The sequence below is a fragment of the Homo sapiens genome, chromosome 9 (assembly GCF_000001405.40).
Source record: "Homo sapiens chromosome 9, GRCh38.p14 Primary Assembly".
NCBI classification, from domain to species: Eukaryota; Metazoa; Chordata; class Mammalia; order Primates; family Hominidae; genus Homo; species Homo sapiens.
Genome location: NC_000009.12, coordinates 95,924,065 through 95,950,914, shown reverse-complemented (window position 1 = coordinate 95,950,914; position 26,850 = coordinate 95,924,065). Strand labels below are relative to the sequence as shown.

At 35.4% G+C, this 26,850-nt stretch overlaps 1 protein-coding gene across 16 annotated transcripts in view; it reads right to left on the bottom strand.

The window, feature by feature from the left end:
- ERCC6L2 (ERCC excision repair 6 like 2) overlaps window positions 1-26,850 on the bottom strand; it is a 165,402-nt gene that overhangs the window by 90,178 nt on the left and 48,374 nt on the right. For 15 of the 16 annotated variants that reach the window (NR_164677.1, NM_001375291.1, XM_047423357.1 and 12 more), the window contains 3 exons: window positions 22,765-22,836; window positions 22,051-22,196; window positions 9,366-9,461 (listed from right to left, as the gene is read on the bottom strand). Coding sequence is in view for 15 of the 16 variants with exons in the window: in NM_001375291.1 (NP_001362220.1) it covers window positions 9,366-9,461; window positions 22,051-22,196; window positions 22,765-22,836 (314 nt within the window). In the remaining variant the exon portion in view is untranslated. Of the gene's footprint in view, window positions 1-9,365; window positions 9,462-22,050; window positions 22,197-22,637; window positions 22,732-22,764; window positions 22,837-26,850 lie in introns of those variants that run through there. The other variant, XM_011518648.4, reaches the window with a different exon arrangement.

Below are 26,850 nucleotides of genomic sequence, written 5' to 3'. Positions count from 1 at the left end.
TTTACCTATTATGAAAGTCAGGTGTTGAAGTCTCCCATTATTATTGCAGAGCTATTTCTCCCTTCAATTCTGTCAATGTTTGCTTCATACAATTTGGGGCTCTATTGTTTGTTGAATTTATGTATATAATTGTTAAATCTTGGTGAATCCACTTTTTACCATCAGATAATGTCTTTCTTCTAACAGTTGTCGACTTGAAGTCTATTTTGTCTAACATTAATACAACCATTCCTGTTCTCTTTTGGTTACTATTTGCATGAAATATCTTTTTCCATGCTTTTATTTTCAACCTGTGTATATTCTTGGACCTAAAGTGAGTCTCTTATGGATAGCATATATTTGGACACTGTTTTTTAAATCTGTTCTGCCAATCTACATCTTTTAATTATGGAATTTGATCCATTTACATTTGAAATAATTAAGAACAGGGAAGAACTCATTTTTCCCACTTTATTTATTTTCTATATGTCTTATAACTATTTTGCCCCTAAATTCCTCCATTACTGCCTTCCTTTGTGTTTAATTGATGTTTTTTAGTGACATATTTTTATTCCTTTCTCATTTCCTTTTACATATACTTTAGATATTTTTGTTGTGGTTACCACAGGGATTACATATAATATCCTAAAGTTATAACAACCTTAAATCAATTGATTTTACATTGATATCAATGTACTTGTCAACATAGATTTATAATTATTTTATGCATGTGTCTTTTAAATCCTGTAGAAAATAAAAAAGCAGAGTTATAAGCCAAAATTACGATACTGGTATTTATATTTGTCCATGATACTTACCTTAACTGGAGATCTTTATCTTTTTGTATGACTTTGAGTTACTGTCTAGTGTACTTTCATTTCATCTTGAAGTTCTCCCTTTAGGATTTTTTTTTTTTTTTTTGAGACGGAGTCTCACCCTGTCTCCCAGGCTGGAGTGTAGTGGCACAATCTCGGCATCTCGGCTCACTGCAAGCTCCGTCTCCCAGGTTCAAGCAATTCTCTGCCTCAGCCTCCCAAGTAGCTGGGATTATAGGCGCCTGCCACCATGCCTGGCTAATTTTTGTATTTTTAGTAGAGACGGGGTTTCACCATCTTGACCAGACTGGTCTTGAACTCCTGACCTCATGATCCACCCATCTTGGCCTCCCAAAGTGCTGGGATTACAGGCGTGAGCCACTGCACCAGGGATAGGATTCCTTACAGGGCTGGTCTAGTGGTAATGAACTCCCTCAAGCTTTTGTCTGTCTGCAAATATCTTAACCCTCATTTTTGAAGGGCAGTTTTGCCCAACATAAAATTCTCGGTAAACACTTTTTCTTTGTTTCTCAGTTGACAGTTTGTTTGTTTTTTTTTCCCCCAATACATTAAATATATTATCCCACTGCCTTCTGGATTGCAAAGTTTCTACTGACAAATCCACTTGATAATCTTAATGGAAATTCCTTGTACATGACATGTTGCTTTTCTCTTGCTGCTTTCAAGATGCTCTCTTTGTGGACAGTTTGATTATAATGTGCCACAGTGTGGATCTCACTGGGTTTATACTATCTGGACTTGGTTGATCTTCTTGTATTTGTATATCCATATTTTCCCTCAAATTTGGAGAGCTTTTCATTATTTCTTAATCTACCCTTTTGTCCTTTTCCCTTTCTTCTGGGCCTCCATAACGTACATATTGGGTCCATTTGATAGTGTCCTATATGTTCACTTCCCCTTTTTGTTTTGCTCCTCAGATTAAATAATTTTAAATAACCTATCTTCAAGTTTGCAGATTTTTTCTCCCTATTTTGGTCTGCTGTTGAACTCCTCTAGTGAATTTTTCAATTCCAAAATTGAATTTCGTGTCCAGAATTTGTTTGGTTCTCTCTCTTTTTTTCTTTTTTTAATTTCTATCTCTTTGTTGATACTCTCATCTTGCTCATATATCCTTTTCCTCACTAGTTCTTTCTCTGTGTTTTACTTTCACTCTTGGAGTATTTAAGACACTTGTTGTAAAGTCTTTGTCTAGTAGCTCCAATGCCTGTTTTGCTTCAGGGACAGTTAGTTTCTAGAGATTTATTTTGTTACTCTGAATGAGCTGTATTTTCATTTTCTTTCTTTTCTTTTCTTTTTTTTTTTTTTTTTCTAATGTCTTGTGGTCTTTTCTTGAAAACTACCATTTGGAAAGACAGCCAACTCCCCAAGTCTTTGCAAACTGGTAAGGAAGACCTTCACTAATTAGCAGGGTGTGTCTTGAGCCTTGGGAACAACATGGGGTGAAGGCTAAAAGTCTTCTCAGGTCATTTCTGGGTATACATCCTGCCTGGGTATGCTGCCATCTTGGCTAACTGCAGCCTCCACCTCCCGGGTTCAAACGATTCTCAGCCTCCTGAGTAGCTGGGACCACAGGCACACGCCACCACACCTGGCTAATTTTAGTAATTTTAGTAGAGATGGGGTTTGACCATGTTGGCCAGGCTGGTCTCAAACTCCTGACCTCAAGTGATCTACCCGCCCTGGCCTCCCAAAATGTTGGGATTACAGGCATGAGCCACTGTGCCTGACCTCATTAAAGTTTTATCATGAGATTGCAACAATTTAGTCACATCATCAGGCTTTGTTTCTAATTCTAGTTCTCTATTTCCACCACATCTGGAATTACTTCCTCTACTAAAGTCGAACTCCTCAAAGTCATCCATGAGGGTTGGAATCAACTTATTCCAAACTCCTGTTTGATATTTTGACCTCTTCTCATGAATCACAAATGTTCTTAAATGGTATCTAGAATAGTGAATCCTTTCCAGAAGGTTTTTAACAGACTTTGACCAGATCCATCAGAGAAATCACTATATATGACAGCTATAGCCTTACAAAATGTGTTTCTTAAATAATAAGAGTTCAAAGTCAAAAGTACAACTTGATCCATGGGCTACAGAATGGATGTTGTGTTACTGCATAAACAACATTAATCTCCTTGTATATCTCCATCAGAACACTTGGGTGACTAGGGGCATTGTCAGTAAGCAGTTAATATTTGGAAAGAAATCTTTTTTTTTCTGAGCAGTAGGTCTCAACAGTGGGATTAAAATATTCAGTAAACCATCCTGTAAAGAGATATGCTGTTATCCAGGCTTTGTTGTTCCATTTTACAAAGCACAGGCAGAGTAGAGTTAGCATAACTTTTAAAGGCCCTAAGATTTTCGGAATGGTAAATGAGCACTGGCTTTAACTTAAAGTCACCAGCTCCATTAGTCTCTAACAAGAGAGTCAGCCTATCTTTTGAAGCCAGGTATTAACTCTCCTCTTTATTGACTACAGTCCTCAATGACATCTTCTTCCAATATAAGGTTGTTTTGTTCTCATTGAAAGTCTGTTGTTTAATGTAGGTACCTTCAACAATGATCTTAGCTAGATCTTCTGGATAACTTGCTGCAGCTTTTCTACATCAACACTTGCTGCTTCACCTTGCACTTTTTTGTTATGGAGGTGGCTGCTTTCCTTAAACATCATGAACCAATCCCTGCAGCTTCAAACTTTTCTTCTGCTACTTCCTTGTGTCTCTCTGCCTTCAAAGAACTGAAGTGTGTTAGAGACTTGCTCTGGATTAGGCTGTGGTTTAATGGAATGCTGTGGCTGGTTTGATCTTTGATCCAGACCACTAAAACTTTCTTCGTATCAGCAATAAGGCTGTTTGGTGCTCTTGTCATTCATGTGTTCACTGGAGTAGCACTTTTAATTTCCTTCAAGAACTTTTCCTTTGCATTCACAACTTGGCCAACTGCTAGCTTTTGGCCCATCTTGGCTTTCAACATGCCCTCCTCACTAAGCTTAATCATTTTTAGCTTTCGATGTAAAGTGAGAGACATGCAACTCTTCCTTTCACTTGACCACTTAAAGGCCACTGCAGAGTTACTAATTGGCCTAATTTAAATACTGTGTCTCAGGGAAGAGGGAGGCCCAAGGGAGGGAATGAGACAGGGGAATGGCCAGTAAGCAGAGCAGTCAGAACACACACATCTACCAATTAAGTTCATCTTTTTATAGGGGCATGGTTCATGGTGTCCTGAAACAAATACAATAGTAACTTCAAAGATCAGTGATCACAGATCACCATCACAGATGTGATAATGAAAATCTGAAATAATGTGAGAACTACATTCTCACAGAGACACAAGTGAGCATATGCCACGGAAAAATGGTGCTGGAAGACTTGCTTGACTCAACATCTCTACAAACCTTCAATTTGTAAACAAGGCAATTATCTGTGAAGCACAATAAAGTGAAGTGCAATAAAATGAGATGTATCTGTATACACAATTATTAAATTATGGTAGATAACTTTTATTCAAGTAATTTATATATTTATTTAGCCTAGTGGATTTATTATTATTATTTAATTTTATTTTTTTGAGATGGAGTCTCGCTCTGTCACCCAGGCTGGAATGCAGTGGCCCAATCTCAGCTCACTGCAAGTTCCGCCTCCCAGGTTCACGCCATTCTCCTGCCTCAGCCTCCCAAGTAGCTGGGACTACAAGCGCCTGCCATCACGCTTGGCTAATTTTTGATATTTTTACTAGAGACGGGGTTTCACCGTGTTAGCCAGGATGGTCTCGATCACCTGACCTCGTGATCCGCCCACGTTGGCCTCCCAAAGTGCTGGGATTACAGGTGTGAGCCACTGCACCCGGCCAATTTATTATTTTTTAAGAGAGGAATATGGAGTTTCCCATTATAGTTGTGGATTTGTCTGTTTCTCATCATATATAAGAGTTTTGGCTTTGTTATGTAGTGACTATTACAACTTCCTAGTGGACTGTGGCCCTCTTTGTTTTGCTTAATGCCTTTTGTCTTGAATTCTATTAATAATTTGATATTAGCATTGCCATCCATTCTTAATTTTTGTTACCATCTCCCTGATTTGATTTTTTTATCTTATTTTCAACTTCCTGTGTCTTTTTTATTTACATATATGTTTCATAATAAGCATAAACCTGAGTCTAATTTTTCCTTTCTGCCAGCCCCACTTTTCTCCTTCTTTCTAAAAAAAGTTTCAACATATTCATATTTATGTTTGGATTTAGTTCTGACACTTCATTGGTCATGCTTTCTGAGTTTCCTCCATCTTCCCAACACAACTATATATTTCCTATCATGTACTAAAATAATTACATTTTCTTGGTACTCTTATTTCTTTTGGAAGTTTTACACCTGTTGCGGGAAGTCAGGGACCCTGAACGGAGGGACTGGCTGAAGCCATGGCAGAAGAACATAAATTGTGAAGATTTCATGGACATTTATTAGTTCCCCAAATTAACACTTTTATAATTTCTTACGCCTGTCTTTACTTCAATCTCTGAACATAAATTGTGAAGATTTCATGGACACTTATCACTTCCCCAGTCAATACCCTTGTGATTTCCTATGCCTGTTTTACTTTAATCTCTTAATCCCATCATCTTCATAAGCTGAGGAGGATGAGTGTTGCCTCAGGACCCTGTGATGATTGCGTTAACTGCACAAATTGTTTGTACAGCATGTGTGTTTAAACAATATGAAATCTGGGCACCTTGAAAAAAGAACAGGATAACAGCAAAGTTCAGGGAACAGGAGAGATAACCTTAAACTCTGACTGCCAGTGAGCCGGGTGGAACAGAGCCATATTTCTCTTCTTTCAAAAGCAAATGGGAGAAATATCGCTGAATTCTTTTTCTCAGCAAGGAACATCCCTGAGAAAGAGAATGCATCCCTGAGGGTAGGCCTCTGAAATGGCCGCTTCAGGTGCGGCCGTCTTTTATGGTCACTACTGTAGGGATGAAATAAGCCCCAGTCTCCTGTAGTGCTCCCAGGCTTATTAGGACGAGGAAATTCCCACCTAATAAATTTTGGTCAGACCAGTTGTCTGCTCTCAAACCCTGTCTCCTGATAAGATGTTATGAATGACAATGCATGCCCGAAACTTCAATAGCAATTTTAATTTCGCCCCGGTCCTGTGGTCCTGTGATCTCGCCCTGCCTCCATTTGCCTTGTGATATCTTATTACCTTGTGAAGGATGTGATCTCTGTGACCCACACCCTATTCGTACACTCCCTCCCCTTTTGAAAATCGCTAATAAAAACTTGCTGGTTTTGCAGCTCAGGGGGCATCACGGAACCTGCCGACATGTGATGTCTCCCCCAGACACCCAGCTTTAAAATTTCTCTCTTTTGTACTGTCTCTTTATTTCTCAGACCGGCCGACACTTAGGGAAAATAGAAAAAAAACCTATGTAAAATATTGGGGGTGAATTTCGCCCGATATCTGGCTGAATTTCCCCGATACACCTAATATCCAGTGTTTTTCAAAGTGGAGTTGAGAACCAATTGTATCATAATCACTGTGGGTGGCTTTTAAAATTAATTGTGGCAAAACATACAAAACGATTTACCATTTTAGCTATTTTTAAGAGTACAGTGCAACGGGATTAAGTAAATTCAGTTTTCCAGCCATCACCACTATCCATTGCTACAACTTTTTTATTATCCTAAACTGAAATTCCATGCCCATTACACAATAATTCCCCATTCCTCCCTATCCCCTAATAAGCACCATTCTACTTTCTATCTCTATGGATTTGACTATTCCAGGTATTTCATATAAGTAGAATCATACAATATTTGTCCTTTCATATCTGGCTTATTTCATGTAGTATAATGTCTTCAAGGTTTGTCTATGTTGTAGCATTTATCAGAATTTCATTTCTTTTTAAGGCTGAATAGTATTCCATTTTATGTATAAACTGTATTTTGTTTATCCATTCATCCATCGATGGACATTTGAGTTGCTTCCACATTTTAGCTATTGTGAATACAGGTGCTATGAACATGAGTGTACAAGTATCTCTTCAAGTCTCTGCTTTCAATTCTTTTTGGTATATACCCAAAGTGGAAGTGTAATTGCTGGATAACATGGTAATTTTATGTTTAATTTTTTGAGGAACCACCATGCTGTTTTCCACAGCAGCTGTGCCACTTGACATTTCCATCAACAATGCACAAGGGTTCTGGGTTCTAATTTCTCCATATCCTCAACTAGGACTTGTTTTCTGTTGTTGCTTTTATTTTTACAATAGTCATCCAACGTGTGTGAAGTTGTACCTCACTATAGTTCCGATATGCATTTCCCTAATGATTAGTGATGCTGAGCATCTCTTCATGTGCTTAATGGCCACTTATATATCTTGTATACCTTCTTTGGAGAAATGTCCTATGCATTGTTAGATTGGGTTGTGTTTTTTGTTGTTGTTGAGTTTTAGGAGTTCTTTTTATATTCTAGATATTAATACTTTATCAGATATGTGATTTGAAAATATTTTCTCCCATTCTGTAGACTGCCTTTTTTCTCTGTTGATAGTGTCCTTTGATCCACAACCTGGGTGTTTTTTAAAACGTAGAATGTTGAGTCCCATTCTACATCTACATAAACAGAATGCCTGCAGGGTGGAGTTTGAGCATCTGTGTTTTTGAAAATTGTACCAGGTAATTATTATAACTCACTCTTTTAGTTGTTGCCCCTAAATTTTTTGCTAGCATTTAAAAACATTTGTTGGCATACAATTTGAGAACTGACCAGGGTATCCTGGTCCTTTCCTGAGGAAAAAAAAACAATTCTAAGACAACTTTACCCACCTCTACCCTTATTCTGACAATTATCAAAATTTATATAACATTTTAGTTCTTGTTACTAATTTTTTCATACCATCCCTTCATATTTCAGGGAATTCTTTCTTTACAACTGCATGAAGCCTATCAGCCACACTCCCAGTAATTTTTTAGACTTAAAATTTTAGCCACAAATTGTAAATACAACTCAAAATAATTTTCTTTCACATATAGCCATATAAATTTTTTCACTTTGACAATTCTGTTGTCATTCTAGAATCCTATAATGCTGATGAAATGTATGTTCTTCAAAGTCTGATCTGCTGAATTGAGTCTGATTCTCATTTCTTTGTTAACAATGTATCTTTTCCTTTTTGTTGCAGTTTTTATAAATCATTCTCTCCCTGTTTCTCACTTTGGAACCTTTTAGCCCTTCTCTTTATCTTTGAAACTTAGAAATATTACTAACATGTATGTTTTCTCTCTCAGTCATTATTCCTACTTCATACTAAATGCCCCTTCAAAATTAATAACAATTTTCTCCAATCATGTCATCAATTATCTCCCGTCCTCCAGTCTCTGTTCATTATTTCTGGAATACACAGATGATGATTTCTGGGATTTTTCCTCAATTTCTCTTTACTCATATTTCACATCTATTTGCTACTTGACTTTATGTTTTAAAATATTCATTCCTTTTATCTTCCATATCCTTCTCCATTTTTCCATTAGCCCTCTCCATTTTTTTTCAGACCTTCATTTTTTTCCATATCCTTCCATTAGCCCTCTCCATTTTTTTTCCCAGACCTTCTACTGAGTCACTTTATTTTGGCAATAGTTTTAATTTATAAGAACTAATTTGTTTTTTTATGTACTTTTTTCCTTGGCATCCTATTCTTATTTTATTCCCTTCAATGTCTGTTTTTCACCTTTGTCCTTTGCTTTCTTGCTAGGTTAATTTTATTAAAATGTTTCATAATTCTTCATTTCCCATTCATAATTAAAATGACGACTAGGTGCATCACTGGAAAGCCGGTCTGTGTTTCCATGCAGGTAACACGTGTATTTCCCTTTTTCATGTCCTGGGGAGATCTGGAAGTACTTCAGGCTTGGCTCTGGCTTTATGATCTGGTTCCAACATCCATTCTAGGAAGCTTTCTACAGTCAGATTCCCCATTTGTTTATAAAATGTGTAAAATTATTCTTTCAGCTTTAATCAAAGAGTACCTGTTACGGCCAATCTCTCTGTAAAGTAGGGTGTCAGAGGGGAATTTGTATTAGAGTCAGGACATTATCAATTTCCCAGAATGATGCACTCTGTCTACTCCCACATACTGTAGTTGCAAGCCCATGCTTAAAATTTCTGTACTCTTTCCTGCAGACTTTGGATTGTAGTATTTCTCTGCGGATACCCTGATCACAGATTCTACTTGCTTTCTATCTTCCAGGAGTTTCTCAAAACTTCTGATCTACTAGTACAGAACTATCCTATTTTCCTACAGTATTAGGAATTTATTCTTTCTTCTTAAGTCATTTCTGTCATATTAATAGGATTCTGAGATGGATGAAAAATGGCTATTTTTGGACTGTTATTTGGATTGAGAAGGTCAGGATTATATTAAATGTACGTTTTTACCAGTTTCCCCCTTTCTTCTAATCATAGTCATAGTATAAGCAACCTTAAAAGTTCAAGAGTATTTTTAGATTAAAAGTATTTGCAGATCACTTTAAATTTTGTCAGTATTATACCTGTCAATGGCTTGAAGATCATTGGCTGGATTCCAAGTAGGATCAAATAATACAACAACATTGGCACCGACAAAATTGAGGCCTAGTCCACCAGCCCTGGAGGAAAGAGAAAAAAAAAAAGCACATTAGAACAGCAAAAACTAACTGTTGTGCTATAACTCAACTGTGCCAGGTTTCTATAGCCAAAACAGTACGATATTGCATTAATTTCATCAAAGTAAGGTGGTGATTAAAATACAAATATGCCACAAATTAAATATTTAAGGCACAATTTTATTTCTACCACTCTAGAAAATCCCTAAAAAACTGGTCATTAGAGCCCACGTAAATAGTTTGTGCTGGTTTTTACTTTTTTTTGATACTCAAATACTACTTCTGCAAGATTTTCCTAATATAATTTTTAAAAAGTGTTAGTACATTCTAGCTAAATAAAGTAATGCATACATTAAAAAACTCAATTCAGGAATAGATGCACATCTTATTCTTCCACTAAGTGCAGCTAAAACTCTGGATATTACATAGGAAATAAACGTAAAACTCTGAAAGGTACAGAGAAGATAGGCAGGCTAGGGACTACAAGGCCTAAGGAATGGCATGGCAGTGAGTCATGGCTTTCCTGAAAAAAAGGAATGGCTTTTCCAAAAAAGAAAGCTTCCATGGCTTTTCCAAAAAAGAAAGCCTAGCTGAAGGAGTCCCACATTCAGCAACTGATGGAACTCCTGGAGAGAAAATTGGCAAGGATATAAAAGAACAAACTGACCAACCAACAGGATTTAAATGACATACACAGAACACACCACCTAGAACAGCACAACACACACACTTTTTTTTTCCTGGTTCCTATAGAACATTCACCAAGATAGACCAAATCATGGGCCATAAAACAAACCTCAACAAATTTAAAAGAACTGAAATTATACTGGTATATACTGAGTATAATGGTATTATACTGAGTATGTTCTCTAACAATAACGGAATCAAACTAGCAATACATTTCAGGAGGACAACAAAATAAATTCCACACACTTGGAAACTAAACAACATACACTTAAATAGCTCATGAGTCACACAAAATCTGAAATCCAAAAAAACTGTGAGAAGAAAGTCTAGCTTTCTTTTTTGCTTAAGATACCACAAGCTGGGTTCTTAACATATCCCAAGCTGTTGGTAATGCCGAAAGTCACAGACTATAAAAATATATATATATATCCCAAGAAAAGCCTTTTCCCTTTAGCCAAAGAACCAGGAAAGGTGTAGCCTTGAAAGGCAGAAAAATGTGACACAATAACCACTCTACTCCTGCCAAACACCAAGGAACAATCTGCAGCCCCATCCCTACCTTAGTCAGCAAAGGCTGAATGAGGATGCTAGACTTCTACCCTTGCCTGGCTATAATGAGACACTACCACTGATTCTTGCTGGGGTGGTGTCAGAGAAGACTGAGTGAAGAGCTAGAGCTTTCGTTTTCTTCCCAATGATAACAGGGTCTCCCTCCATGGTGTCAGGGGACGCCAGGTGGGAGCAGTAGTAAAGCACTTCCCTCTCAGGCTATCAGCAGAGGCCAAAGACGGAACCTAGCTTTCCACCCCTACTTGGCTGGCATGGTGTCAAAGAGGAGGTGTACTAAAATGGAAGATTTAAATCACATGCAGAGTCTCATAACACAATACTCAAAATGTCCAAGACACAATGATACAATAAAAAATCACTTATACCAAGAACCAGGAAAATTGCAGCCTGAATAAGAAAAGACTGAGATGAATCAGATGTTGGAATTACCTGACAAGAATTTTAACAAAGCCATCATAAAAATGTTTCAACAAGCAATTACAAACATGCTTGAAACAAACAAAAAAATTGAGTCTCAGCAAAAACAAACAAAACAAAAATGGATATAAAGAGCAAAATAAAAATTTTGGAATGGAAAAATAGCTGAAATACAAAACTTGCCAAATGGGCTGAACAGTACAGTGGAAAAGACAAAAGACAGAATCAGTAAGCATGATGAGAACCAGTATCATTCACGAAATATGAACAACAGAGAGAAACATCAGAAACCATGGATATCAGAAGAAAGTGGCATTATCTTTCAAGTGCTGAAAGAAAAGAACTGTCAACCCAGAATTCTATACTCAGTGAAAATATCCTTCAGAAAGGGAAAGGAGATAAGACATTCTCAGACTAACGAAAACTAAGAGCACCTGTTACCAGCAGACTTAACCTAAAAGATTGGTGGCTAGAAAGTTCATAAGGAAAAAAAAAAAAAGCAGAATAAGGCTTGGAACTAGAACAGAAAGGAAAGAGGAAGATCAGAATAGGTTAAAATAGGGGTGAATATAAATACTATTTTATTTCTCATGCATTTCATAAATCACATTTCATGGTTAAAGGAAAACTGCAATACAATCTGATATGCTGCTTAGGGCATGTAGAGGAAATATCTAAGACAATAATATCTTAAAAGTGGAGTAGGAAAAGAAGCTTAAATGTAAGTAAAATTTCTATACTTCATTCAAACTGGTAAACCTGTATACCAGTAGACTGTGAGAAGTTACTATGTACAATGTAAATACCCAGAGCAACCACCAGGAAGCTACACAAAGCAATACACTAAAAAACACTATACATAAACAAATACAGAATCCTAAAGAAATGTCTGAATAAGAGAAACAGTGGAACTAGAAATAGGAGATAAAAAGATAAAAGTTAAATAAAAAATATCAATAATTACCTTCAATATAATGGCCTAAATATACCATTTAAAATCGTAAGATTGGCAGGGTAGTTTGAAAAAACAATATGCTCTCCACAAAAAACAAAACAAAACACTTTAAATATGATGACACAGCTAGGCTGAGAGTGAAAGGATGATAAAAGATATACCAGGCAATTATTAAAGAAAAAAGCAAGACTGGCTATATTAATATTAGTCCAAGTATATGTCAGAGCAAAGAAAGTTAATAGTTAAAAGAGGGACAATGCACAATGACAAAAAGATCAATCTGCCAAAACACCAAACAGCACCAAAACAGCAGAGCTGAAAGATACATGAAGTCAAATTAAGCTGAAAAGAGAAACAGGCAAATGCACAATTATAGTTGAGGATTTCAATATCCCACATTCAGCAACTGATAGAACTCCTAGAGAGAAAATTGGCAAGGATATAAAAGAACAAAATGACCAACCAATGACATACGCAGAACACTCCACCTAGAACAGCACCACACACACTTTTTTTTCCTGGTTCCTATAGAATATTCACCAAGATAGACCAAATCCTGGGCCATAAAACAAACCTCAACAAATTTAAAAGAACTGAAACTATACTGGTATATACTGAATATAATGGTATTATACTGAGTATGTTCTCTAACGATAATGGAGTCAAACTAGCAATACATTTCAGGAGGACAACAAAAAAAATTCCAAACACTTGGAAATTAAACAACATACATCTAAATAGCTCATGAGTCAAACAAAATCTGAAATCCAAAAAAACTGTGAAAAAAAATACAAGGAGAAATAAATAATAATGTAACACAAATGAAAATACAACATATCAAAATATGTAGGATGCAGCTAAGCAGGGCTTAGGAAAATTTGTAACATTAAATGCTTATATTAGAAAAAAATTAAAGGTCTCAAACCAATAATCTGAGGTCCTCCCCCTAAGAAACTAGAAAAAGAAGCAAAAAAAGCAAGCAGAAGAAAGGAAATAATAAATAAAAAAGCAGAATCAATAAAACTGAACACAGAAAAATAACAGAGAAAAATCAGTGAAAAAAAGCTGATTCGTTGCTAAACTAGCAATGACAAAGATAAAAGAGAATACACAAATTACCAATATTAGAAATGAAACAAGGGATATCACCACAGATCCTACAGCTATTAAAAGGATAAATGAATACTATAAAAAATTTTATGGTCATAAATTCAATAAGTTAGAAGAGAAACAATTCCTCAAAAACCGCAAACCACTGAACTCAACTAAATGAAACAGACAACCTGAATAGTCCTATAACTATTAAAGAAATTGAGTATGTTATTTTCAAAACTCTTAGGGAAAAAAAATAACCCCTCCAGGCCCAGATGATTTCACTGGAGAATTTTACCATTTACAGAAGCATTAACACCAGCTTTATACAAGAAGCACATGAAAAGATGTTTAATATCATTAGACATTAGGTAAATGCAAATCCAAACCACAATGACATGTCTCTACATGCCCATCAGAATGGCTAAAATGAAAAAAATAGTGACGATAGCAAATGTTAGTGAAAATGCAGAGGAACCTGATCACTCACACACTGCTGTGGGGAATGTAAAACCATATAGCCACTTTGTTAACAGTTTAGCAATTTCTTATAAAACGAAATACGCAACTATCACATAATGCAGCAGTTGCAATATTTAGCATTTATCCCAGAGGAATGAAAACTAATGTTCAAACAAAAGTCTGTACACAAATGTTAATAGCTTTATCTGTCACAGCCGAAAACTGGAAACAACCCAGATGCCCTTCAACAGATGAATGTATAAACAAACTGTGGTGTATCCATATCATGAATACTAAGAGCAATAAAAAGAAAAGAACCATTGATACATACAACAACTGGATGAATTTACAGGGAATTACGCTGAGTGAAAATAGCCAATCCCAAAAGGTTACATACTTTATGACTCCCTTTACATAACATTCTTGATTATGTTGTTCTAAATTACAGAAATGGAGAACAGATTAGTGGTTTCCAGGGCTCAGGGAGAAAGGGGAGAGAGGAAAGCAGATGTGACTACAAAAGGACAGCATGAGGGATTCTTGTGATGGAAATGTTCTGCTCTTCACTGTATCAACGTCAGTATCCTGGTTGTGATAATGTACTACAGTTTTACAAGATATTACATTGGGGGAACTGGGTAAAGAGTGCATGGGATCATTCTGTATTATTTCTTAAAACTACTTGTGAATCTAGAAATATCTCAGAATAAAAAGTTTAATTTAAAAATGTGGCTAACATCCATATGGCCTTAACACAGAATGGATTCTTAAGTACAGATTATTTCCACCATCACATGTTGATCACAAGACAGGCAGTCAGGGTGCTACCGCATATGCTTCAGGCTTGTCATAGTGAATACAGAGAGAGCCAAGAGTTACACTGCAACAGGATGCCACATGTTCTCTCTCCAAAAGGAAGAGAACAAGATGAAATAACATCAATGCTAATTTTATAATGAGCTACATCTAATACTTCCCTGGACCCAGAGTTCTTTTTCTCCATATATTTCCTGGTGATACCACCCATATACTCACTCATCAAAGTCAAAAGCCATGCTAAGTATCACTATAGACTTCTTCTTCTCCATGACTACTTCCCTTTCCCACTAAAAGCTAACCAGTATCAAGTCCTGTCATATTTAGCTCAGAAATGTTTTTCTCTTGAGTCCCTTCTCCATTCCTATTACCACTGCCCTTTTCAGAGCTGTTATTAGATTGCACTTGCATGTATTACTTCTTTGGTCTTCTGATTGTCCTCTCTTACTTCAGACCTTACACCCATGCCCATTCTCACATTACATAAAAATTATTTTAAGCACAGAATATACAGAACTAAGTGTACTACTCATCTGGAAAATTTTACTTTTGCAGTATAGTACCCCAAATCGTTAACTTAATCCTTACAAGTTAGTAAGTATGAAAGCATTGTAGTTCAAATTACAGGGCTTGCTTAGAAAGCTGTTTGTAGCTTAAAACCCATTAATTCCTATTCATCAGAGACCAATCGGCCTCAATGACCAGGCCTACCGTCTCTGCAGCTGGTATCACACCAGTCATTCTTGATAACTATACCACAAGTGACCAAAACATTTAAAGTTGCTTTCATACAATTTTCTCTGCTATCTTATTTGCCTGGCTAACTTTTCCTTGTCCTTCAGGTGTCATTAACAAAGCCTGAACTAAATCTTTCTCCTCTGTGCCTCCTCCTACCCTGCATTCGCCATACTGTATTGAACTATCCTTTTACATGTTTCTGAACAACTCCTCCTGTACCCCTCTACTTTTTGAGTTATAAACTTTAAGAGACGTGTCTCCTCCAGGGCCTGTCACAGAGTGGATACTTACACTCTGTTAAACTGAGCTTCGTTAAAATAACTCATGAGTTCTCCTATGTAGTCATACACCCAAGCTGTTGCCTCCACATATCCTAAGCACTAAACACATAAGTTCTCTAGTTATTTTGGTACCTATGCTATTCTCTGTGCCTAAAATGCCCTTTACCAAAACCTGCTTTTCCTTTTCTTTTTAATAAAATCTTATCTCTAAAGAACCAGTTAAAACATCACCATCCTTCTATGGGATTTTTTGATCTATCTATTTCTTAAATGCCTATGAATCTTCACACATAAACTCCAGTAAAGCATTTATTGCATTATACTGCTCTTCAAAGGCAAAAATTCTCTTATTTTTCTTGCTGCACATTAAGGGTCCATGAAGATATTAGTAGTTGAACAAAAAGGTGTGAGACTGAGACAAAATAAAGCAGTAAAGGCAGATTTTAACAAAAGGCATATAATATGATTCTCATTATTTATTTGAAAAGAGTGGTTTAGAATGTCTTTCTCTTGGGGTACATAACAAAAGAAATGTCCTCATCTTTCTGGGAAAGTTGACAGTGTTTTGGAATAATGTTATGAGAGACAGAAAATGATGTTTCTCCTGATCCCTTCAAAGCTCATGATTCCTGGTGTTGGACTACCTAGAGGTACTTATATCATCTGGAAAATTTTACTTTTGCAGTATGGTACCCCAAATCCTTAACTTAATCCTCACAAGTTAGTAAGTATGAATAAAGCATTGTATTTCAAATTATAGGGTTTGCTTAGAAAGCTGTTTGTAGTCAACTAGTGTATGATTCTGAAAGTCAAAACCAAGAATGAAGTTGTGCCTAGTATTCATGCTACAGAGTCTTTTTGACACTTAAATGGAAGCCAAAAGTTTTGTCTTCATTTAACTTGACCTGTGGTTAAGGTAACAGTGAAGAGAAGTCACTAAAGACATATTTTTTGGCAGTTTTTATTATTAGTATAAAAATCACATATTGGTTTTGCTAGATTCATTTTTTTCTATCAGCATACTACTTATTTCTTTTGGAATAAAATTTCTAAAGGAAACTTTTGGCAAAACTGAATGTATATAATGTTTGTATACTGAGTTGAAGATTCCAGCTGCCTATATAATTTAATAGATTTTAAATAACAATAATTGTGATCTTTTCATGTTTTGAACTATCTGATCTACATATCCTGTATTTAATACTCTGTAAGACAACGATGATAAATTTTTACATTTTTACAAAGAAAAGGCAAAACCAAAATCCAAGAACACAATGATTTTCTTTCTCTTCCTCAACTGTTTTCCTGAGCCCAGCTGTCTTTCAGGCTTTCCTCTGAGGCTTTGCATTGCCATTTTCCCTCATCAGCTGCCTACACTGTATCACAAAACAACTCACACTTAGATAATGCTTTACACTGGATGCTAATCATCCAGGGGAAGAAAAATGATAATCTTTTCTCCTACAATTTCTATCAAAAATGCAAATAAATTAACCTTTATTGAGCATCTACTATATATCAGGAACTATGCAAGGTATTTTCATATATGCTAGTTCTTTTGCTCTCAAGACTTCTTTTTTTTTTTTTTTTTTTGAGACAGAGTCTTGCTCTGTCTTGTCCAGGATGGAGTGCAGTGGCGTCATCTCAGCTTACTGCAGCCTCCACCTCCTGGGTTCAAACAATTCTCCCGTCTCAGCCTCCTGAGTAGCTGGGACTACAGGCATGAACCGCTGCACCTGGCTAATTCTGTATTTTTAGTAGAGATGGGGTTTCACCATGTCAGCCAGGCTGGTCTCGAACTCCTGACCTCAGGTGATCCATCCGTTTTGGCCTTCCAAAGTGCTGGGAATACACGCGTGAGCCACTGCACCTGGCCTGTTCTGAAGACTTCTATAAGCAAAATATCCTGATTTTTCAGGCGAGAAAATTGACAATCACAAAAATTAATTTGTTCAAGGTCTCCTAAGTAGCAAGTGTCTCGATTCAAACCCAAATGTCCTGATTGAAAGTTCAGTGCTCAGTAGAAACTGAATTTTCTCCTTTGGAAAACTGCTTATTAGACATACCATGAAGATGTCATAGAGACTTGACTGAACTCTAAGAAAAGAATGAGGTGGGATAGGGAGAAAGTATTAGAAAGGATTAAAAAAATGGATAAGTTAGGGGATTGGGTGGAATTTAGACAGCAAAAAAGCAGAAACGAAGTTAAAGGTTTCTATGTTGAATAAATCTAATCAACTGTTCCAGTTACCTTCTTGATGGCAAGGTCAGGCATAACCATGTATGATGCCATCTCAGATGCCATATATGAGCCACAGATAAGATCTCTACTAGTTGAGGTAGCAATCTTCCAAGAGATTCTGAAGTAATAACTTCAGTCCTTGCTGAAGAAGCAAAGCTCCCTTTAAAGAAGAAGAAAAAGGCCCTAGACTCTCTCTCTCTCTGCAGATGAGATAATTCTCCCTTTGATGATAATACAACTCAGAAACCTAAACTTTAAAACTTGTCACTCTGTTCTTACATGGTTAACAGCAAAGGGTTACTTGTTAAGCAAAAAAAATTTTAATATTGCTCTTTTCGAACTGAGGACTGGTATTTGAGACACTTAATGAGTATGCAGGCTGTTTATTCCTTAGGTCTGCCACATGCTCTTCCTGTATCAAATAAGTATATCAGAAAGTACACCTTAACTACATCTTAATGTTCTACAAACATGTCTTTGATGAAATAAGTTTTATTATTATGTATTAAGTATTATAAAAGGTCAAACGAAGTATCCATTTGAACAATGCTTCTAAGAAAACCTAAATAAATATAAAGAGATACCATGTTTATGGATAGGGTGGCTTCATACCTTAAAAACTCCAATTTTCCTCAAACTCATTAATAAATTCATTGATTCTCCAAAAACAAAAAACAAACCCCAGGAAAAATGCCAGATGATCATTCTTTAAATAAACTGAATGAAATGACTATAAAAAGCTAGAGTTTAACACACTGATGTTCTAAAACAAAAGGTAACTCCAAAAACAAAAGAGGTCAGAAAGCAAGAAAAACTTTAGATTAAAAATGTGATGGCAGAAATGGTGGCTCACACCTATAATCCCAGCACTGTGGGAGGGCGAGGCAGGTAGATCACGAGGTCAGGAGTTCAAGACCAGCCTGGATAATATGGTGAAATCCTGTCTCTACTAAAAACACAAAAATTAGCTGGGTGGGGTGGCACAGGCCTGTAGTCCCAGCTGCTCGGGAGGCTGAGGCAGGAGAATTGCTTGAAATCCGGGAGGCGGAGGTTGCAGTGAGCCAAGATTGCACCATACAGCCTGGGCCACAGAGTGAGACACTGTCTTAAAAAAAAAAAAAAGTGATCATTTCAAACAAAATAATAAGATCGAAAAATGACATTTCTCAGAACAGAGCAAAAAGACAAAGTCTGAGAGAAAAGTTCAGAGATTTAAAGAACCAATATAGTTTGAAAGTTTGAAAGTCTGATGACCTGGCATGCCAGAGGGAGGGAGCAGAGAAAAAGGAAGAAAAAAAAAAGGCCATTGTTAAAGAAATAATAAAAAAGCATTTTCCAGAGTTGAAAAAGAACATAAGCCTTCAGAATACAAGCCTACTGTACCCAGCACAAAAAAATGAACGAAGATCCACACCAAGACTCAAATATCACCGTGAAATTTTAGAATAGTGTAGATGAAGAAAAACTCTTACGAGTTCCCAAAAAGGAATGAAAATCAGATTGGCACTGCACATCTATTTAGCCACACCATCTATCAGAAAACAATGCTGCAAGCCCTTCAAAGATCTAAGAGGAAATGATTTTCAATTTAGAATTATATAGTTGGACAAAGTATCAATTAAGTGAGAGAGCAATAAAAGACATTTTCTGTATTTACAGATGCAGAAAATTTACTTCCTATATATTCTGGCTTAAAAAGTTACCAGAGGATATTTCCTAGGAAAACAAAGGGGCAAGTCAAGAATAAAAACAGCATGGAACCCAGGAAAAAGATCCAACACAGAAGAGCAGTGAAAGAAAGCTTCAACATGACAGTTCTTTATCAGGCCTAGAAAACTGGGCCAGATTGAAACTAAGGAATAAAAGTTTCAGGAGGCAGGTTCAGGATACAGAGGACTCAACAGAAGAGAATGTGTGAATGAGAATTAGTAACATTGAGGATTATTACAAAGGGCAGAAACAGACTGAGAGGGGGAAAAGACCGAAAAAGTCATGATTGAAATTTGAAGTGAACTGAACAGTGCAAACATAAAACATGGATGAAGTCTTAGGAAAGAGAAGTCATATGAGGTTGATGTTAAGACTGATCTTGCATTGACCAAAAGGTCGTGAACATTAAGAAAAATTATCTTAGCACTACTTGCCCCTGCATTAAAGATGTTTAGTTTATAAAAACATAGTAATGTAAACGCTTTTTTGCCTTCAAATTTTAATGCCAACCTATGGACAATAACCGGTTACTGGTACAGGGCTTATTGAAAACATTAATACCCTTGACAAAGTAAAAGTTAAAATAGTTAACATAATATGTATAGGTGACAAAAGTAGAAGGGTGGGTGGGTGTGTGCTAATGCTAATACCACACATTACAAAGACTTAGAAGGCATGTGGAAAGTTAATGGACCAAACATCAAAACTTGAATCATTTTCCAGTAAAACATGGCGGCAAACCAAGAAAGAAGAAGACACGGGATCCAGGAAAAAGATCTAAGAGAAAATTCAATGGATCTAATGCAGAAGTACAAAGATTGAAAGTTACAAAAGTAGTTTATAGACAAATAATTTTAAAATAGCAAACACTGTGAGAAAAAAACGGGGAGAGAGTAGTGAAAGTAGCCTAATCATCTTTCTTAAGAGAAGTTCCAACTTATGTAAAGTTGATAAACTAAAAGATAATGAAGACTTTGTACTCTGGCAAGATAATGGCTAAGCCAATGTGAAAACATTTCTGTCACAACATATTAAATATAAACCCTTGCAAAATGATAGAAACTAAACAAAAACTGAGCTTATGTGTCTTTTGCAAAACACAGCTGAAGAATGTATTTATTATATTACATAAGGTTCCTTATATAATGACTTATGAAATAAATTACTCAAATTGTCACAGAAAAATAGGAATCCAAAACTTTTTCCCTTGTCTTGTCAGGATGCCCAGCAGAAGCCAAAGCAAAACCACACAAGCAGAAAACTCCTACAACCGGTCTCCAAAGGATTTCCAGAGGAAAAAAATCCCATTGAAGATAAGCTCAAAAGAAAAAAAATGACCAAACATGAAGAAACTATCAACCATAAGCAAGAGCCAGAGGAAACAACAAATAGAAGGATCAGCACCACCAAGTACAGGAGTTAATAGAGCAAAAATGCCATCCAAAAAGATGTTTTTCGAAGTATGATTAAAATTAAAAATTCAATGGATAGGTTAAATAGCAGTTTCTGACAGATAGAGGTGAAGGGGTAATTAGGAACTTTATGGAGGATCTCAGCAAATGAGCTGGAAGTGAGCAGAAGAAGGATAAGAGACTACTGCTTGTCATTATAGAGTCTATTATTGGAACCATTGTTTAGTGCATCTATCAACTGGAAACACTTTAAAGTTAGAATGCTTATATGTTTTATGAAATTTAATTGACCACAGTATTCTATGTCATTTAGTGCTCTGTATGTAAGGACGCATGAAAAAAATTACTTCTTGCATTCCTTTATAGGAAAATGGGAATCCAAAGCTTTTCCCCATTTGCCTTAGTGGTAGGAATTCAAGAATAATTAAAGTGCTCAACAATGTTGGCTCATTCATAAGTATATTTTATTCCTCATTTTAAGTTAATTTCTATTCTGATTTAATTTTTACTTTGTGCATTTTATATATGTTTATTTTTAAAGTCCATTGAAATTCTGAAAGACAGTGGGAGTGAATCTATAAAATTCTTATTACACAGGATGTCAAAAGTTATTGATCTGTTCCTTCCTAAAATGGGATTAATCTTACTTAGGTGTTTATGTTGATTTAAATCTTTTCAGAAGTGTGTATATTCTCTAAAAGGTCTTAAAGGGATATTCATACATAGGGGTTAGAACCAATTTACCTTTCATAAAAACTCTAACTGCAGAGCTGCTCCAGTTGAGATGAGGTAGAGGCAGAGGAGGGAAACGTGAGCCCCTAGCCCCAGTGGGCTCTCAAGGGCTCCCTGACACAGTGGGAAAACTGCTGCTACAGTGAGTCTCAGTTATCCAGTTAATAAGAAGTCTGATTATTCTCACCAGGAGACTTGGGTCAAAACACTACCATGGAAAATTCATAGGAGGAAGTATCAATTTTTTTATTGTTACCTTTATAAACCCAGACTTCTAAGAGGAATTCAATGTTGATAAAGGAAATGAGAGAAAAGCTTAGCTAAAACTTAAGACATTGAAATTTCGGTCATAATAGTATTTTTGCTGCTTCTAAATAAGCATAGCCATTAAAAATTAATCCAGTAATAGTTTTAAAAATTATGCTAAATCTCAAAAACAATTGGATAAAAATCTAGTTATTAAATTTAATTTTCTTACATTGTAGAGACAAGGCAAATGTTAACATCTTGTGTACTGTTGAACTCTTTTACAATCTTGAGTCTTTCCTCTGATTTTGTACTTCCATCAAGTCGTCGGTAATCAAGCCCAGACGCCATACAGTACTGCTGTAGCACGTCAAGCAACTAGACGAGAGGTATGAAGATGGGCAAACATGAATCTTGGTTAAGTAAGTTTCAGACCATTACAAAGTTGAGACTTGTTAAGTATTAATTATTGGTGTTCATAATTTCTTTCTTATAATTCCAAGAACAATAAATATTTTTCTCACTTCTGACCCATATATTTATTCCCGTTATCCTGCAACATTATGGCTTTAACATTCAGAACTTGTTTTAAAAATCAATCTTTTCATTTTTAAGAAACAAACAATATTACTGGTCAAATCATTTACATAAATATATGCATGCTATTTTTTAAGTTCTAAAATATATGAAATGTCTTAAAGAACATTGTAATTATTAAGAACATCAACAGAAAATAAAAATCTATCTTTGAGTTTGATATTTAGCAACCCTGAAACAATTGAAATTTTAGTGTCTGTTTAAAAACTTCAAGTTGCTTACCTCACTATTTCCTACTGTGTAGATAAGAGAAAATGTGGCTGTAAGGTGTCATGTAGGCATATGCTTTATTCTTTATGCCTCAAAAGTTGAGGCTGGCCAATCAAGGATATACTTTAGATGAACTCACCTTGGTGGAAAAAGAAAAGAGAAGAACTTTATCTCTGTTTTTCCTGCAATGATTTAAAAGCTGCTGAAGGACCTGAAAATGAACCACAGAAAATCAGTGAACCAGTTCCAACTAAAAGTACACTTTATACATATAAACATCACTTGAGAATTTCTTTAAAATTATTTTCATACAATACTAACCTCATTCATTTTTTCTAATTCCTTTCATTTTTTCCAAGTTAGAGAAATAAAGTATTAGCTATTACATCAAATGTTATTCATCATCATATTGTCAATAAGGAGGTAAAGTTCCCAAAGACTTTTATTTCATCTCATCTGGTTTTAATAAAAAGGAAGCATTTTGGATTATGGGATGCATTTAAATGGATTAATTTAATTTCCAAAATACACTTTCTTTATACCTACAATATGCTAAGAAACTAAATTATAGAGCAGCATTCCTTTTAGGAAGTATTTAAATTGTCCCTAGATGGATGTAATGAAATGTGTTCAATTACATCTAGGTTCTAAAAGTCTTGATATTTATTTTCTTAGAATAATCAGTCAGATACACACCTCTTCTCATTTTCTCCCCTTTGTTTCTCTATTTACAGTAAGCTCTGACTTCCAGATTTGATTTTGACCTCAAAATGCCAGTAATCTGCCCCCACACACAGTGCTTTCAGGGAGGAAACAAACAGTCCAAAGCCTTGTGTATAACAGTCACACTGTTACTTTTATTTCCACATCTGGCAATGACAGCTCCAGAACAATGTGGAAAAGCAATCCACAGAGGGGAAAAAGAAATTTTCTATACAAAGTCTAAATTCTTCTGAAAGATGAAACAAACACTAAAACAATTTATTTAATGATAAACATTTAAGCTTTTAAATAAAAAAAATACTCAATATAACACTTACTCAATCAAGAGAAGCTATTGTGCTAACTTTGACCTCTACCTCCCCCTAGTCCCTCAAAAAAAGCTATGGAGTTAAAAAAAACTTCTACTCAGATAACCAAATTTATTTATCAAATGGTAAATAAAAATGTTATGGATCGGGTAAACATTACTTTCACATTTGGAGAACATATGAAGTTTTATTTGCATTTAGTTCATTTTTTAATAAAATAACTGATTCTATATGAAGTATGTAATTTGAATTTCACATAAGACTTTTTAAATTGGTAGATATTATTTTTTCTGTTTTACAGAACTGAGTAGAAAATGCACAAAACTCCTCTTTCCCTACTTCCAACCTCCTCCACACTTTCTCTTATTAATATCTGTATTAATAATATTATTAGAAAATATAACATCAAGTATTATTAGTATTGGTGTGGTTTATTTGTAACAACTGATGAGTGAATATTGATACATTATTATTAGCTAAAGTCCATAATTTACATTAGGGTTTATTCATTGTGTTACATAGTTCACGGGTTTTGACAAATATATCATGACATGTATCTACCATTACAGTATCATACACAATTGTTTCATTGCCCTAAAAATTCCTTGTGCTTCACCTACTCATTCTTTCCTCCCCCAGAACCCATAGCAACCACTGTTCTTTTTACTGTCTCCATAGTTTTGCCTTTTGATAGTATTATATAGTTGGAATTATACAGTATGTAGCCTTTTCAGACTGGTTTCCTTCACTCAGCAATATGCATCTAAGGTTCTTCCATGTCTTTTGGTAGCTTGATAGCTCATTTCTTTTTATTGCTAAATAGTACTCCACAGTATGGCTGTACCACAGCTTTTTTAATCCATTTACCTACTGAAGGACATCTTAGTTGTTTCCAAGCTTTGGCAATTATAAATAAACTCATAGGTTCTTGTCGGGATGTAAGTTTCTAACTCATTAAAACTCAATAAAATTTAATTCATTATAACTCATTTGGGTAAATACCAAGGGGCACAATTGCGGGATCATATAGTAAGACTATTTAAGGTAATATTTTTTAGTTAAGAGCTTTGTGAGAAACCACTGAACTGTCTTCCAAAGTGACTATACCATTTTGCATTCCCACCAGCAGCAGATGGGGGTTCTTGTTACTCCACATCCTCACCAACATTTGGGCTTGACAGTGTTCTGGATTTTGGCCGTTCTAATAGGTATCTAGTGGTATCTCCTTGCTGTTTTAATTTGCAATTCTTTAATGACATATGTTGTTGAGCATCTTTTCACATGCTTATTTGCCATCTCTATTATCTTCTTTGGGGAAGTACCTGTTCAGATCCTTTGCCCATTTTTCAATTGGATTGTTTGCTTTCCCATTGTTGAGCTTTAAGAGTTACCTGTATATTTGTAAACCAGTCCTTTATTGTTTTGCTAATATTTTCTCCCAGTCTGTGGTTTGTTTTTCATTCTTAAGATATTAACATTTTAAACCAAGGATATATTGTATAGAAATCCATTCTCATTATTTGGGGTGGTATCATAACTATTGCAACTTTAAGTGTTTTCAAGTATTTTACAGTAAAAACAAAAACAAGTCACAGGAAAAGTAAATGTTTTTAGACTGGAGATCTTAATTAGGCTAGTTTAAAGAGACTAACTAAATGAACGACTATAAATTAAGATCCCAGAAATTTCCAAAATGACAATGTAATCAACAGATGTTGGAGTCTTAACAATATAGACCCAATGTTTTATCACTCAGTTGTCCTCCACAGAACAAGACAATCCACCTATAAAGGAATCGTATTATTTGGGGGTGTTAACAGCAAGGAACCTTGGATCTTAACTTTCCTCAACTTGGTCAGTCAGGCCTAGAAAGATGAACATGACCCTTGTGTGACTTCAGCAGCACCAAGCTGGATTCCTGTCTTTTTTTCCACCCTCCACAGTAAGTGGCTCTGCGGCATTTCTCAAGAGAAAGAAAAGTGAAGATTTTCATCAGGTGAATGATTGCAACTTGTGACTAACCCCTTGAATGATAGTTGAGGTCAAAACTCTGACACTCAAGAGAAAGAGGTGGGGTCATAAGTGTAGCTTTGAGGCTATAAAGATTATAGCAGGCATTCTGTTCAGAGTCCTTGCACCTGCAGGCTGACCTGTGACAAGACAAGCTAAACAAAGATCTTTTATCACCTGAATTCAAAAGGTAAATGCAACTCAATTCTTAGAGTTCTTAAACCCATAGGCAATGATTCTATGATAAGCCTGTAAGTCTGCATTACCAAATCAATATATGACCAGATGATGCTGTTAGTCAAATGATTTAACATAGTCCTAAAAATATATCCCTAGCTTATTACTATCCATCTGTTTGGCTGGTGCTCTCTCACAAACCAAGTAAATTACCTGCATCATTCACATATAAAAATACTACCCAGCCTCCAGCAACAATTTATGCTTACCTTTTCCCTCCTAAAAATTAAAATAAAATTAAATTTAATCATTCTCTTAATCAGACACTATTATTCCTAGGGAGATTAACTTTAAAAGTATATTTTACAAGTATATATTAATGAATATATAAAAAATATAAAATGCAGAGTTATAAAACTTAATTTCAAGACTGGCAATTTTTTAGTGAAGAGTCACAGGGAATAAAATTTAAATGAGTAGCAATGACTAATGCAGTTTTCAGAGGAGGCTATAATTTCTGGAAATGTTCTACTGGTTTAAACTGTGGGATAGTAAGTGCTCAGTTCTAAACCGGACTTTTTATATATTTTAATTTAAAAATAATTAAAGTCAATGAAATGGATGACAAAAATTTGCTACCTTAGGAAATATCATTAGATTTGAATTATTTGTTGTGGTAATAAATCACATGATATCCTCATTAATATAAACATTTATTTTTTAAAAGCAAGTTTTTAATGCAATAGTCTTTATGTATGTATGTATATTCCTACCTTCTATTTTATTTCATTGATTTTAGAGGTCCCAAGCAAACTAAACCATGATGAACTTATCTAGATCAATTGCTAAAAGTATTTCTATAAAAAAAAAACAAAAACTGCTTTGAACTACTTCCTTTTTATTCTTTTTATGTCAAAAAGAACTTACCTTTTAAAAACTATAACAAAGTTGAGTTTTGTTCTGTAAAAATCTGTGAATCTACAAATAAAGATTCTTGATAGACACTA